Source organism: Homo sapiens, chromosome 4, assembly GCF_000001405.40.
Source record: "Homo sapiens chromosome 4, GRCh38.p14 Primary Assembly".
Lineage (NCBI taxonomy): Eukaryota > Metazoa > Chordata > Mammalia > Primates > Hominidae > Homo > Homo sapiens.
Genome location: NC_000004.12, coordinates 2,503,485 through 2,518,535, shown reverse-complemented (window position 1 = coordinate 2,518,535; position 15,051 = coordinate 2,503,485). Strand labels below are relative to the sequence as shown.

At 49.2% G+C, this 15,051-nt stretch overlaps 1 protein-coding gene across 4 annotated transcripts in view; it reads right to left on the bottom strand.

The window, feature by feature from the left end:
- Positions 1-2,678: 2,678 nt before the first annotated feature.
- The window catches only part of RNF4 (ring finger protein 4), a 46,752-nt gene continuing 34,379 nt past the window's right edge, over positions 2,679-15,051 (bottom strand). For 3 of the 4 annotated variants that reach the window (XM_047416062.1, NM_002938.5, NM_001185009.3), the window contains 4 exons: positions 6,571-6,580; positions 5,939-6,098; positions 5,405-5,453; positions 2,679-4,866 (listed from right to left, as the gene is read on the bottom strand). In XM_047416062.1, coding sequence (XP_047272018.1) covers positions 4,717-4,866; positions 5,405-5,453; positions 5,939-6,098; positions 6,571-6,580 — 369 coding nt within the window. In that variant the 3' untranslated portion in view covers positions 2,679-4,716. The remainder of the gene's footprint in view (positions 4,867-5,404; positions 5,454-5,938; positions 6,099-6,570; positions 6,581-15,051) is intronic. The other variant, NM_001185010.3, reaches the window with a different exon arrangement.

Below are 15,051 nucleotides of genomic sequence, written 5' to 3'. Positions count from 1 at the left end.
CATGGTGAAACTCTGTCTCTACTAGAAACAGAAAAAATTAGCTGGGCATGGTGGTGCACACCTGTAATCCTAGCTATACTCTGGAGGCTGAGGCAGGAGAATCGCTTGTATGTGGGAGGTGAAGGCTGCAGTGAGCTGAGATCATGCCACTGCATTCCAGCCTGGGTGACAGAGTGAAAATCTGTCTCTGGAAAAAAAAAAAAAAAAAAAAAAAAAAAAAAAAAAAAAGAACATATCCCTGTAGTTAAACAACATATAACTATGTTACCCAATACATTAACTGATTAGAGAGGCAAACAAATCTTGTCTCAATAGAAGCAGAAAAAGGACTGGTAAGATTGAACATTCACTTGTGACCAAAAACAAAAATAGAGAAACCCTGTCTCTACTAAAAATACAAAAACTAGCCAGGCGTGCTGGTGCATGCCTAGCTACTCAGGAGGCTGAGGCAGGAGAATCGCTTGAACCCCGAGGTGGAGGTTGCAGTAAGCCGAGATTGTGCCACTGCACTCCAGCCTTGGCAACAGAGCAAGAATCTGTCTCGTTAAAAAAAAACAAAAACAAAAAACAGAAATTGAAGACAAATGCCACTAGGTGTCATGGCTCATGCCTGTAATCCCAGCACTTTTGAGGAGGCCGAGGCAGGCGGATCACCTGAGGTCAGGAGTTTGAGGGCAGCCTGGCCAACATGGTAAAATCCCGTTTCTACTAAAAATACAAAAATTAGCCGGGCATGGTGGTGCATGCCTGTAATCCCAGCTACTCGGGAGGCTGAGGCTGGAGAATTGCTTGAACCCAGGAGGCGGAGACTGCAGTGAGCAGAGATTGCACCACTGCACTCCAGCCTGGGCGATGAGTGAAACTCCGTCTCAAAAAAAAAAAAAAAAAGATAAATGCTTATCTCATGGTAGGAAAATGAACCTCCCTCATCTGACAGTTATCTAACTAGAACCTACAGCAAACATCTTTCTTGATGAAACACTAAAACACAAACACCATTTGTGTGTAATAATAATGTACTGGGCTAGGCTGGGCGCGGTGGCGCACACTTTTAATTCCAGCACCTTTGGGAGGCTGAGGTAGGAGTATCGCCTGAGGCGAGGAGTTAAAGACCAGGATGGGCAACGTGATGAGACCCCCGTCTCTACAAAAATAGAAAAAAAGAAAAAAGAAAAAAAAAATAGAGTTGGGGCTGGGAGTGGTGACTCACGCCTGTAATCCCAACACTTTGGGAGGCCGAGGCGGGCGGATCACTTGAGATCAGGAGTTTGAGACCAGCCTGGCCAACATGGTGAAAGCCCGTATCTACGAAAACTACAAAAATTAGCTGGACATGGTGGCACGTCCCTGTAATCCCAGCTGGTTGGGTGGCTGAGGCAGGAGAATCGCTTGAACCTGGGAGGCGGAGGTTGCAGTGAGCTGAGATCGAGCCACTGCACTCCAGCCTGGGCGACAGAGCCAGACTCCGTCTTAGGAAAAAAAAAAAAATAGCAAGGATTCTGGATACACAATATAGAGAATCAATTGTTTCTATGCTGCCAAAACAAAACAAAACCACCCCCCCACCGAAAAAGTTAATACAGACATCTTTTGAGTTTCTATAGCCAGCCTTGGGGGCTCCCTCCTTTCCAGGACCAGACCCACTCCAGCAGTACCAGTCTTAGGGATACACTGCTCCCTGCCTCCCCTAGGCTTGCTCCTGGGGTAAAGAACTGCCAGGCCCTGGGTAGCCACCAGAAGTGTCTGGTCCAATGCCTTTAGGTATCGGGGAGCCTGCAGACCCTACTGTATGCCAGCAAGAAGCTCTTTCTCATAACTTTCACAGGCCTGGCCTGGGGTCTCTGGAATTCTTTCCTCTTTCCCTAGAGAGCTTTCTGGACCTTGAAGATGGCAACTTAGCAGCCCTTATTCAGAGAGAGCTTTCTGGACAGCTTCAACTTCTTCCTGCTGGATCTCCTGGTTTCCCGTACCCCACCCTCATCAGTTTCAATTTTCCAGTGGCCTGGGGGACTGTCTCCTCTGTAAACATGTTCCATGATGTCTGTCTCACTGCCCACAGAGCCAAAAGTGCAGTGCCAGGAGCATGGTAAGCAAACTGCACTGGATGGTAGGCCTTTGGGACCCAGGCAGCCAGCATGTTAGCCTTTCTAGTCCCTGGGGACAGCTGGATAGGTACAGAGGGCAGAGGCAAAGGGAGAGCTTGGCCACACTGCCAAGCCCATTCCCTCCTTGTGGCTTTGCTGGCACTGCTCGCCTGTGGCAGTGGCTGGCATATCCATGCACTCCCAGTGCTGACTCCCACTCAGAGGGCAAATTTTGTATCTAGGTGGTCAGGGGCAAAGGGGGGTGCTGCAGTGCAAGGTTTCCAGGGCAATCTCAGTCCATCCCACTCAGAGCAGCACCCCCAGCACCTCTGAGAGACTGGCCGAGCTGAGCAGACAGCTCCTTGGTCAACCTTGCCTCTCAGAGTAGACTCTGCTCTCTTAGGGACTCCAGGGCTTGGGCTTGTGGCTGTGCTCCAAGAACAGCCTCTCACATGCTTGCTGGATTTAGGACATGGAAACTTCCTGAACACACACCAATGCAAAATACACTCAACGTGAGGCAGATAAGAACCCCGCACCTTGGCAAAAAGGGGGGAAATTGATTCCAAAGAGCAAATGAATGTGTAAAAGATATTTGGTTCAAATTAATGGTTTTATTTCCATCTGTAACACTAGCAGAGGAGTCCAAAGCAGACTGATATCCATGGATATAGTTTAAATGTAACAAAGAAAGAGTTGAACTATGTACATTGAAAAAAGGAAAGACATTTCTTCATACCAACCTTTCCCTAGTTCGCAGTTTCTGAATAGTAGAAACAAAACACATTTTTAAATCTTTCTATCAATTTAATTTAGGACGAAGTAACACAACTTTTATAATTAACCACTGAAGTTGTCTTTAAGGACAAAACTTAAATTTTAAAATGGGTGTTACCATATTTTATGAGTGGACTGACTCCAAGGTTGCCTTGCTCCAAGTCTGGGCATCGTGACATTGCCGTGATGCCCAGAAGAAAGTTAATGGCAATGATGTCCAGTCAGAGGGCAGACATGCTACACATCACAATGATGAGAGCTGCGGATTCTGCCCTCTTCAACTCCAAGTAGAAAATTATTATTTTCATTCAAACTAACTGGAAGTGAGCCAAACAGTTAAAAAGTCAGAATGAAGAATAAAACAATTTTCTTTTCACATAGAGGAGGGACACTCCTTCAGCCCCGTCTAAAGTGAATTCTGTGCTGAGTCCCTGCTCCTTCAGAAGGGTAAACTGAAGGTCAGTTATTGCTAACAAAGCCAGAAGTGGCCCCTTTCCCGCCCTGAAGATGTTTCACACGAAAAGGCCGTTTGTTTGGCGTGAGGCCCTCTGAGGAAGGACGACAGTGGAAGAGGAGGCATGCCGGCACTGTAAGGCCTCTCTCGTTAGCCACCCCCCAGGCCCTGTGCTGTCAGGGGCAGCTTGGGCCACTTTGCTGCCCCTGAGAGAACCTGAGGCTCCCGCGTACCTGTGGAGCGAAGGAGAGGTTGTCATCTGGGCCCCTGTTTCACCAGTCAAAACCTATGGAGCAGTCAGAAGCCCGAAGCATCCAAGCCCAGTGGCCAGGAAGCTTCTGAAATAAACGGCACTGGGTTGGGAAGGATGAGAAAGCCAAGACAGGTGGGCCAGGTTCTCCGAACATGGGGCAACAGTGACCTGGGCAAAAGCCTGGAACTGAGCGGCTGATAAGGCCACAATTACTGCCACCACCTCTCAGTATCTACACGGGGGCAGACGTTAGGCAGTGGGAACTGAGGACTGGAGGGCGTGTGGCAAACACGGGATGGATTTTATCAGAAAAGAGAGGACACCCAAACACGTGCCTGCCCTATTTATCTTGCATGTCCTGTGCCAGGTGAAGGACGCTGGAGCATGGGTAAGGTTCCTGAGAACAACTGGTGGGCAGAAACGGGCTGGGATGGGCACTGCTCCACAGGCAACATTAAGCCTCTGAGGGGGACACTAATAGTGCTACATCTTGTGGGCTGCTGAAAAGTAGGTAACGAATGGCCTTTATTGCACTTTTTCGTTCTTAGGAAACAGGGGAGTGCCCTGCAGAGTTTCTCTTGATTTGCAGAAATCACTGCAGATCAATGATAAGGTGCAGGCAGAATCACGGGTGACCTCTGACTCTCAAGGGAAGAAGTCCAGTGATTGGTCTTTCCAGGGCCTCAAGGGGCCACTCTTCAACCTGGGATCCTCGAGCTGGGTGAACCGGGTCTGGCTTGGTCAATGTGTGGCAGGCAGATTGGTCGACCGGCAGACACTTGGGACAAAAGGTGGTGTGCCCGGGAAAGCTGGGGCAAACTTTCCAAACAGGGAAAATTTCTTGGCAAATGTGCAGATTCTGCAACCAGACTGGAACCACGATTCCCAATGCGCCTGACTCCCTTTCTCCCACTCTAGAACTGGACCACCCCAGAGGAACAGAGATGGCCTGGGAGGGCCCTGGGTCCAGCGCCATAGCATCAAACTGGAGATAACAAAAGGAAGGGGTTGGAAACAAAAGAGCAGTTTACATATCAGATGTTGGTTTCGAAACAGTCTTTTTGATCTCAGGAAAATGGAGGCAGATACCACTGGAGAACCTGGCTGTCTGTCTGTCCATCCGTCTCTCCTGGGGGGCTCTGAATACTTCATATATAAATGGGGTGGTACCGTTTGTGGTTGATCTTTTTCCTACAAGTTGGGCAAGTATTAGCATTCTTCAGGGAATCACGGAGGCACTGGCTACAGAAGACATGGCCGCATTCTGTGGAAACGATGAGACGTCCATTCTGCACGATCTAGAAGGCATTAAAAAGAAGAGCCTCCGAGTTTGCCCTTGTCCCAGAGCAGCCATGGGGCCAGAGAATCCCACCCACCTATGCCTAAGATGACTAATTAAAGGAAAGCAAGGGCCAGGCTACAACAGGGAGGGGTCTGGAGAGCTAACTGTGTCTGCTGTGGTCTCTCTCAGCTGGAGAGCAGGAGGCAGGGGCCATGGCATCTCAACAGTGTGACAGCCCAAGAGGGTTATGAGGGACCCCAGTAAACACTAGCAGCTTTCAGTTAGAGCCAGGATGGGGCACAAAAAAGGAGGACGCATTTGCACCCGGAAGCTCAGGGCATACAGGAGTATAGGGGCTGAAGGTGAAAGTTGTAGGGTCCAAGGAGAAACTGGCACATTCTCCCCTCACAGGCAGATCTGCAATAAGTGACGGCCCAGGCATGACTGTGAGTAGGGGTGTCCAATCCCACCGAGGGGGAAGATCCTGTCTCATCCAATTCTTTCAGTGAAGTTTAGAAACCAGAAGCCTGGAAGATACAGCTTGGTTTACTTACCTCTGAGTATCCGTCCATGCAGATGGGACAACTGACAGTACCTGAGGGCCTAAGAGCACAGTGCTTCACGTTAGTTTCTCAGTCAACGCAAACATTTTATTATACCCTGTCACGTGAGTGGCCCCTATCCCCTACAAGAGTCCCGTCCCTGGCCTCCTGACTCTGCCTTAGCGCGGGCATCCGAGAGACTTTCAGGAAAGCCAACTGCCCCAAGGGCATGTGGGAGGGTGAACATGAGAAGGTGCACACAACCTGAGTCACCCTGCCCTCCCCCAGGCCCCTACCAGCCCCAGGATCCCTGTCTGGGGCCACTGGGACTGTCTGCACACACTGTGTCAGCGCTTGGCATCCTCTGGTTACAGTGGGAATAGCTGGACTCAGTTCTGGACCCAGTTCCAACTGTATCCAGATGCTGGGTAGAGGCTTGGGCAAGCCCTTCCAGGGCCAAGGGCTCACAGATTTGCTGAAAAGTATTCCCATGCCCTGGCCCCACATCCTAGCATGGCGGCAGCAGAGCTGGGGGCACGTTGGTACCTGAGGCCTGTAGCGCCCTCATCCCTGGCGTTTCTGGGAGTATGGGTAGTCACATATACGTCTCTGTCCCTGGACAACTCCTCATCGTCACTGCTCACCACACAGCTGTCAGCATGGTCCTGGGGCAGCCTCCTAGCATTCCTCCTTGGTCTTCTTCTTTCTAAGGTAAGAGGTCACATTTTCAGGTTGGAGGCTCTCTACTCTTACCATCCTCACCACTCCCATCCTGACGCCTCTTAAGACCCTCTTCCTTCCCTGCCTGGGACCCCCAGAGACAAACTGCTGCCATGCTCAGCTATAACCCAGAAGGTTCTGCCCAGCTCTGGAGGCCACTATCTTATCTTCCCAGGAGAAACCCCCCAACCCCTGCTGTGAGCTACCAGCCTTCTCCAAAATCTGGTAGGCCACAAGAAAGGACTATAGCTCAGTGCTCAATGATAGTGGTGAAGTTTCTTCAGCAGGCACAAGGGGGACTGGCTGTGTGGGTCTGACCACAGCATCTGCGAAGGCATCTTCCTGCTTGGAGCGCTCCAAGCCCTTGGGGATGGTCTGGCAAGACCTGCAGCACCGCGGCTCTCACCTATGCCAGTTTCCTCTCCAAACCCAGTGAAAAAGGAAACGAAACCACTCACCGTCAACAATCTTGTAAACAGAAGGAGAAAAACAAAAGAGAAAGAAGCAATCAGTTTGATATAAGTGATAAACGAAGCCATTTCTTTTTTCTGACGTGTGACACCCTCTGTGGAACCCTCTGGTGAGCAGCAGAGGCCCCACCCTCCTCCCACCCACAGAGGATCTGTGCACCTCTCCCAGTCAGTCAAGCCCACTTCCCAAGTCACTCCACCTCCCAGCTGATGTGCTGTGTCTCTCCCTGCTGGGTGTTTAGTGGAGTCTCCTGGAGCGTGAACACAGCCACAGCCACACCATGTGCTGACTGCAAGACCTGGGGACCTTCCTTACTATCTGGGGGCTGCCACAGCCACACCATGTGCTGACTGCAAGACCTGGGGACCTTCCTTACTATCTGGGGGCTGCCACAGCCACACCATGTGCTGACTGCAAGACCTGGGGACCTTCCTTACTATCTGGGGGCTGCCACAGCCACACCATGTGCTGACTGCAAGACCTGGGGACCTTCCTTACTATCTGGGGGCTGCCACAGCCACACCATGTGCTGACTGCAAGACCTGGGGACCTTCCTTACTATCTGGGGGCTGCCACAGCCACACCATGTGCTGACTGCAAGACCTGGGGACCTTCCTTACTATCTGGGGGCTGCCACAGCCACACCATGTGCTGACTGCAAGACCTGGGGACCTTCCTTACTATCTGGGGGCTGCCACAGCCACACCATGTGCTGACTGCAAGACCTGGGGACCTTACTTACTATCTGGGGGCTGCAGCTTTCTCTTCTGAAGCAGAGTCACCAGAGCCCACATCTGACTGTGCTGTTGTGAGGGTTACGTGAGGCAGTGAACATTTAGACAGCACTAGGGGCATGATGCTCTCTCAAGCTGACGCGACCAATGTAGGCCACTGCCAAGGTGGAGCCTTCATGTGGAGGAGGATTTGCATTGCTCAGTAGGTTGTTACAAGTAACTAACAGAGAAAAGCAGGCTATGCATGACCAATGCGTGTGACACACACCAAGGATTGAACACAATCCAATTCTCTGTCCTGGGGGCCTAAGAACCTGACAAGCCTCTCACCTGCCAGCTCAGAACTTACATCTAGACAATTTCTGCTCCAACAGTTTCAAACGTGGTTCCTCCCACCTTCTGGCCAAGTGCTCTTACCCATCTAGGGGGGCCAGTGGAACGCCCTTTCCCTCTTGCTGAGCACGTAGGAGGGGCTGTTTCAGGAAAGTTCTCACCACCAAAGCCCTACTGCTCACCTCACCCTGCCTGTCCCCTGGGCAGGACATCCTGCCCTACAGTGACAAGAAGCTCTAATCCTCTACTCTGACTCCCGTGCAGCCAGGATCCTAGACGTGAACCGAGTTCCCTCAAACAGACACACTCATGCTACTGGCAGGGCAGGGGATGGAGGCCGATTTGAGCTGCTGAGGGTGTTGGCACTGGCAGGCACAGCTGCATCCTGAAGAAACACTTCTGGCAGAGGCTGCTATGTCTTGAGCCCAGGCCTCTCCTCCCTAGAAAGGGTCTGCAGTACTGTCTACACGAACCCAAAGATATGAGTGCAGGGGGTGGATGCCGCCTCCAGACCTTCTTCATGGAGCAGACACAGCAGCTCCCTAGGTGGGTCAATGCTTCGAGGTCAAGAGTTATTCCTGGAGACCCAGCCCAGACACTGCTGATTTAGGCTTCTCCTTCCATGTTAAAATCCACTAAGCTTAGGAATAATTAGAGTGGATTTTGTTTCCCAAATGGCATCCTGACATACACAAACGGCCATGCAGGAAGAATGCAGGACTGAGTATAAAGGTCTTTGATTTGAGGATGAGAATATAATCCACATACGTGGAGCCACTGAAACGTGCTCCCCTTTCCTCTTAGAGGAGACTGCAGACGGTGAAAAGGGAAATCTGGGGACAATCAGTCAACCTCACCATCAGGACCAAACTTACCAGGGCCGGCACAATGTACTGTCCGCATGAAATCTAGAAAAGGAGGCTCTGGTAACAGTGCTGGCCCTTGGGGAAAGCCTTGGGTTTAGCTGGGAGCAAAAGCAAATTCTTCTGTGGCTAGAAATGACCCCAGCTTTCTACAGCTCCAACATGCCCCCACCCTCTGCCAAGATGACCCACTAATTAGGTGTGGACACCTGGAAAGGGTATGACACTCCCAGTGCCCCAGCCATGACAGTGCGCGTACTGAGTCTTTATGGTCTCTTGTGAGTCATACCCAGCTTGCCTGTGGATGGTACCAAACTGAGGCCTGTCCTGAGCACTGAGCCCAGGGGCTGCTGGCAAGCAGCAGGTGATACACACACAACTACTGGGGTGCATAAGAACAGGGTCGCCAGAGTGTTTCCTCACTGGTAACAATTCTGACTGTCCCCGCTTTTAATGAGAGAAAAACAGCTTCCAGATGAGTCTTCAGTATAAGAACAACACCACAGGCTGGGCGCGGTGGCTCACACCTGGAATCTCAGCACTTTGGGAGGCCGAGATGGGCGGATCACTCGAGGTCAGGAGTTCGAGACCAGCCTGACCAACATGGTGAAACCCTGTCTCTACTAAAACTACAAAAATTAGCTGGGTGTGGTGGCGCGTGGCTGTAGTCCCAACTACTTGGGAGGCTGAAGCAGGAGAATCACTTGAACCCAGGAGGTGGAGGGGGCAGTGAGCCGAGGTCACGCCATTGCACTCCAGCCTAGACAACAATAGCGAAACTGTCTCAAAAAGAAAAAAAGAAAAGCACAGGCCCGGTGGCTCATGCCTGCAATCCCAGCATTTTGGGAGGCAGAGGCGGGCAGAAAACCTGAGGTCGGGAGTTTGAGACCAGCCTGGCCAACATGGTGAAACCCTGTCTCTACTAAAACTACAAAAATTAGCCGGGTGTGGTGGTGGGCACCTGTAATCCCAGCTACTTGGGATGCTGAGGCAGGAGAATCACTTGAGCCCGGGAGGTGGAGGCTGCAGTGAGCTGAGATCCATTGTACTCCAGCCTAGGCGACAATAGTGAAACTGTCTTTAATTAAAAAAAAAAAAAAAAAAAAAAAAAGGCCTGGGGCAGTGGATCATGCCTGTAATCCCAGCACTCTGGGAGGCAGAGGCGGGCAGATCACCCGAGGTCGGGAGTTTGAGACCAGCCTGACCAACATGGAGAAACCCCGCCTCTACTAAAAACACAAAATTAGCCGGGCATGTGGTGGCTCATGTCTGTAATCCCAGCTACTCAGGAGGCTGAGGCAGGAGACTCACTTGAACCTGGGAGGTGGAGGTTGTGGTGAGCCGAGATTGCACCACTGCACTCCAGCCTGGGCAACAAGAGTGAAATTCCGTCTCAAAAACAAAACAAAACAAAAACAAAAAACAAAACAAAACAAAACAAAAACCAAACAAACAAAAAAACAAAACCAACGACCACAGCCTGGCCTCTCAGCTGGTGGACAATACAGTATTGATTACTGGTGTTCCCTCCACCCAGTGGCCGAGTCACATCAAATTCCAGAATCCCTGCAGACATCTCAAGAACTCTGTAATGAACCTAAATCACAGCTATGGCCCTGCAGGTGGCACAGTACTTGCCCAGCACAGAAGATAGGTGCAGAGGGAAGAGTACCAGCGCTTCATAAATGCCTACCAGATGAGTTGAGAGATGGATAGAGGTGTAACACAAGCTCTGGGGCCTCTAATCTATTTGAGAGGCTTTTAAGATAAGTGAAAAACCAAAACTGAAATAACAACAATTAACTAATCCCCTGAACTGAATAGTTTAATTAGTACTGTGGTAAGCTAGCCCAAGATCAGAAATTCACACTTCCTCGGCTGGGCATGGTGTCCCATATCTGCAATCCCAGCACCCTGGGAGGCCAAGGCGGGATGAATCACTTGAGCTCAGGAGGTCGAGACCATCCTGGGCAACACGGCGAGATCCCGTCAATACAAAGAATAAGCTGGGCATGGCAGTGTGTACCTGTAGTCCCAGTACTCCTGGGGCTGAGGCAGGAGGATCTCTTCAACCTGGGAGGTTGAGGCTACAGTGAGCTGAGCTCGGGCCCCTGCCTTCCAGCCTGGGCAACAGAGCAACACCCTGTCTCAAAAAGAGAAAAGAAAAAAAAAAAGAAAAAGATTCACTCACTCATACATTTTATTTTACTCTAGCTTCTTCTCAACTATGGACAACAGTCCATAGGTCAGAGCATTTAGAGACGAGTGGACCTGCAGCAGGCACATCTGATTGGTCACTCGAAGCCCCTTTGTGCTTCTAAAAGCACAGGTGAGCCTCAGAACACCTCTGCATGAAAGAAGCAAGTATAGGAATCACTGGGTCCCGTGCACTCAGGCTGGCCCCTGGCATTTCTAGGAATGTTCACCCAGCCAAGGGCACCAAGACACACTTGCTTTAGACAACTTTACAGCTCACAGCACTGCACATTGCTCCACTGGAAAAACAGCCATCTCCAAGCACTGTGCACACAAAAGGCTACTCAATGTCCAACAGCTACACACATCATGCAGTTACTGATGCCTGTTACTTGCGGCACTGGCAGGAAAGTCGGGAAGACTGGTGCGGACAATCACATTGTAGTTGAGTAGCCAACCCATCTTGGCTAATTCCTGGATATGATGTTTGGGCTTTTCTGAGCTCTTCTTTCTTTCTATGGAATTGGGCTGGCTCACTTATTCCAACAGTGTGCCTCCTGTGTCCTTTACACCCAGAGATCTACAGGGTTCTGTCCCTCCCTCCTTCCCTCCCTCCCTCCCTCTTCCTTCCTTCCTTCCAGAAAAGCCTTTATCAAGCATCCTTTCTACAGAGTCTCATAAATGGAAAACCAGGCAGGATACAGAATAAAACACACATAGTGTGACTTATTCATACATTATAGAAACAGACCAAAAAAAGATTCCAGAAAAATCAACCTTACTAAGAGACAATCTTTGGAAATTTAAGAAAAACAGCCTAAGTAACATTTTCAATAACCTTCCCCTTAAAGAATCTCGATTCCTTAAAGAGAGTTGCCAGTCTCTTTTCTACCACTGCATTGCTTCTAGCCAGAGCAGAGACTGGCATACTGAAAATGCTCATGAAAAGTGACCCAAGGTCAGGCTCAGTGGCTCACAACTACAATCCCAGCACTTTGGGAAACCAAGGTGGGAGGATCACTTGAGCCCAGGAGTTTGAGACCACCCTGGGCAATACGGTAAGACCTTGTCTCTCCAAAAAAATATAAAAAATCAGCCAGGGATGGTGACATACCCCTATAGTCCCAGCTACTTAGGAGGCTGAGGCAGGAAGCTCAATTGAGCCCAGAAGGTACAGGCTGCAGTGAGCCGTGATGGCACCACTGCACTCCAGCCTGGGTAACAAAGTGAGACCCTGTTTCAAGGGAAAAAAAAAGAAGAAGAAGAAGAAAAAAAACAAATTTGGAGAAAGCACACAACTTGGAAAAAAAAAAAAGATTATTTGCTGTTAAAAAGCAACCAAGGAGGCCGGACATGGTGGCTCACGTCTGTAATCCTAGCACTTTGGGAGGCTGAGTCAGGTATATCACTTGAGGCCAGGAGTTCAAGACCAGCCTGGTCAACATGGCAAAACCGTCTCTCCTAAAAATACAAAAATTAGCTGGCCGTGGTGGTGTGTACCTGTAATCCCAGCTACTCAGGAGGCTGAGACATGGGAATCGCTGGCACCCTGGAGATGGAGGTTGCAGTGAGCCAAGACTGTGCCACTGCACTCCAGCGTGGGCGACAGAGCGAGACTCTGTCTCAGGGGGGAAAAAGAAAACAACAAATGGTTTGCTTTGTTCTAGTTCAATTTTTTCAACGATTTAAAAAGTTTATAGGACTCAAGGAACCAAAACTGTATCTGATGGCCTCAAGGGTTATGTTTGAAGGCTTGCTGACTTGCAGAAAACTCAAGCTGACTGTTCAAGATGTTCAGGGCAAAAACTGCCTAGCTTCCATGCGTGGGTCTTACCCATGACAAAATGTGTTGTGTGATTTAAAAATGGCAGACCACCCGGGTGGATCACTTGAGGTCAGGAGTTCGAGACCAGCCTGGACAACATGGCAAAATCCTGTCTCTACAAAAAATACAAAAATTAGCTGGGCGTGGTGGTGCATGCCTATAGTCCCAGCTACCCAGGAGGCAGAGGCTGCAGTGAGCTGAGATCACGCTACTGCATTCTAGCCTGAGTGACAGTGAGAAACCGTCTCAAAAAAAAAAAAAAAAAAAAAAAAAAAAAAGGCAGACCATGATTGAAGCTCATGTTGATGTCTAGACTACCAATGGTTAAAGAAAACCTCAGCACCAACAGGTCTAAGATGATGGAAATCATGACCCAAGGCCGGGCGCGGTGGCTCACACCTATAATCCCAGCACTTTGGGAGGCCGAGGCGGGCGGATCACGAGGTCAGGAGATCGAGACCATCCTGGCTAACATGGTGAAACCCCGTCTCTACTAAAAATACAAAAAATTAGCCGGGTGTGGTGGCGGGCACCTGTAGTCCCAGCTACTCTGGAGGCTGAGGCAGGAGAATGGTGTGAACCCAGGAGGCGGAGCTGGCAGTGAGCCAAGATCGCACCACTGTACTCCAGCTTGGGCAACAGAGCGAGACTCCATCTCAAAAAAAAAAAAAAAGAGAGATGCAGACAAATAACTTGAAAGAAGTGGTGGAGAAAATTATTCCAGACAGCACTGGAGAAGACACAGAAATGCCTGCAAATCTATTTATCCGCTCCACGATGTCTTCTCTGTGAGGAAAGTTAAAATGCTAAAAACACTCAGGTTTGCATTGGGAAAACGTAGGGAGCTTTGTGGTGAAGACAGCAGTTCTGGAAAAGCTACTGGGATGAGCTAGGTACTAAAGTGAAAAGTCCTATTTATGATGAAAAAAGTTTATATACGAAAGTTGCATAAAAAAAAGCTATGTAACAGCCAGGTGCAGCGGCTCATGCTTATAATCCCAGCACTTTGGGAGGCCAAGGCGAGTGGATCACCTGAGGTCAGGAGTTCAAGAACAGCCTGGGCAACATGGTGAAACCCCATCTCTACTAAAAATATAAAAAATTAGCCTGGCATGGTGGTGCGTGCCTGTAGTCCCAGCTACTCAATAGGCTGAGGCAGGAGAATTGCTTGAACCCGGGAGGCGGAGGTGAACTGAGTGAACTGAGATCGTGCCACTGCACTCCAGCCTGGGTGACAGAGTGAGACTCTGTCTCAAAAAAAAAAAAAAAAAAAAATACAAAAAATGAGCCGGGCATGGTGGCGGCTGCCTGTAGTCCCAGCTACTCTGGAGGCTGAGGCAGGAGAATGGCGTGAACCCAGGAGGCAGAGCTTACAGTGAGCCAAGATCACGCCACTGCACTCCAGCCTGGGTAACAGTGCAAGACTCTGTCTCAAAATAAATAAATAAATAAATAAATAAATAAATAAATAAATAAAAGCTATAAAACAAAGAAGTTTTAAACAGGCACTTCACAAAAGAGAAAAATAAACATGAAAAGGTGTTTGATCCCATTTGTAATAAAAAAGCACAAATTAAAACCACAATGAGACACCACTGGACAAGCATCAGAATGGCTAAAATTAAAAGTGGCCATGAGGATGTGGAGAACCTCAAACACTGGCATGAATGTGAACTGCTCCCTCTTTAGAAAAGTCTGGCATTTATCCAGTAAAAATCAAAGACACTCACACCTCGGGACACAGCAGTGATGCCTTTTCTAGGCTATGCAATGCCAAAAATGAAAGTTCATTTTGAGGGAAACTAATCAAATGAGATGAACAAAGTCTCTCACTGCATCTTACCGCATTTTTCATTTCCCTTCATTTTTCAGGGGCTTTGAATTCCTTCGAAAGTTGGAAGAATGTGCACACCTGTATGCAAAGTTTCCAGTCTTTTTTTCTTTTTTGAAGAAGACAGGGTCTCACTATGTTGCCCAGGCTTGCCTTGAACTCCTGAGTTCAAGTGATCCTCCTTGCTCAGCCTTCCCAGTAGCTGGGACCACAGGCACAAAGTTTAGAGGGTTCCCTGATGTTCTGACGGCTACCTCTGGATCCTGGTATCCAGGGATTCCTATATTACAGGTACAGAGCTACTGGAGCTAAAGCAGTGCACTCAAACTATTCGACAGGTCCTGGCGGAACTGGTAAGGAAGGTTACCCCGCTTCCAGAATGAATACATTTATCCATTTTATACTCTCCTGCAGGTGCAGCCTAGGGTCACCCTGAACACACGATCCATCTACAGATGCCCCTTATCCTCAGTGACTAGCATTAGAGGCCTCCCAAACAGATCTGCTCAGAGGCAGAATTCCAAACTCAAGTATATGTCTCAGTGTAAATTCATAAACTGGCACTTGGACTTATTAAAATCAAAAATAAGTAGAGAATGATTAGCAAGAGCTATCAAGTCCAAAGCAGTTATTTTGTGGCTGACAACACTGAGGACAGTGTGAGATAAATCCACTGATCAAACTGA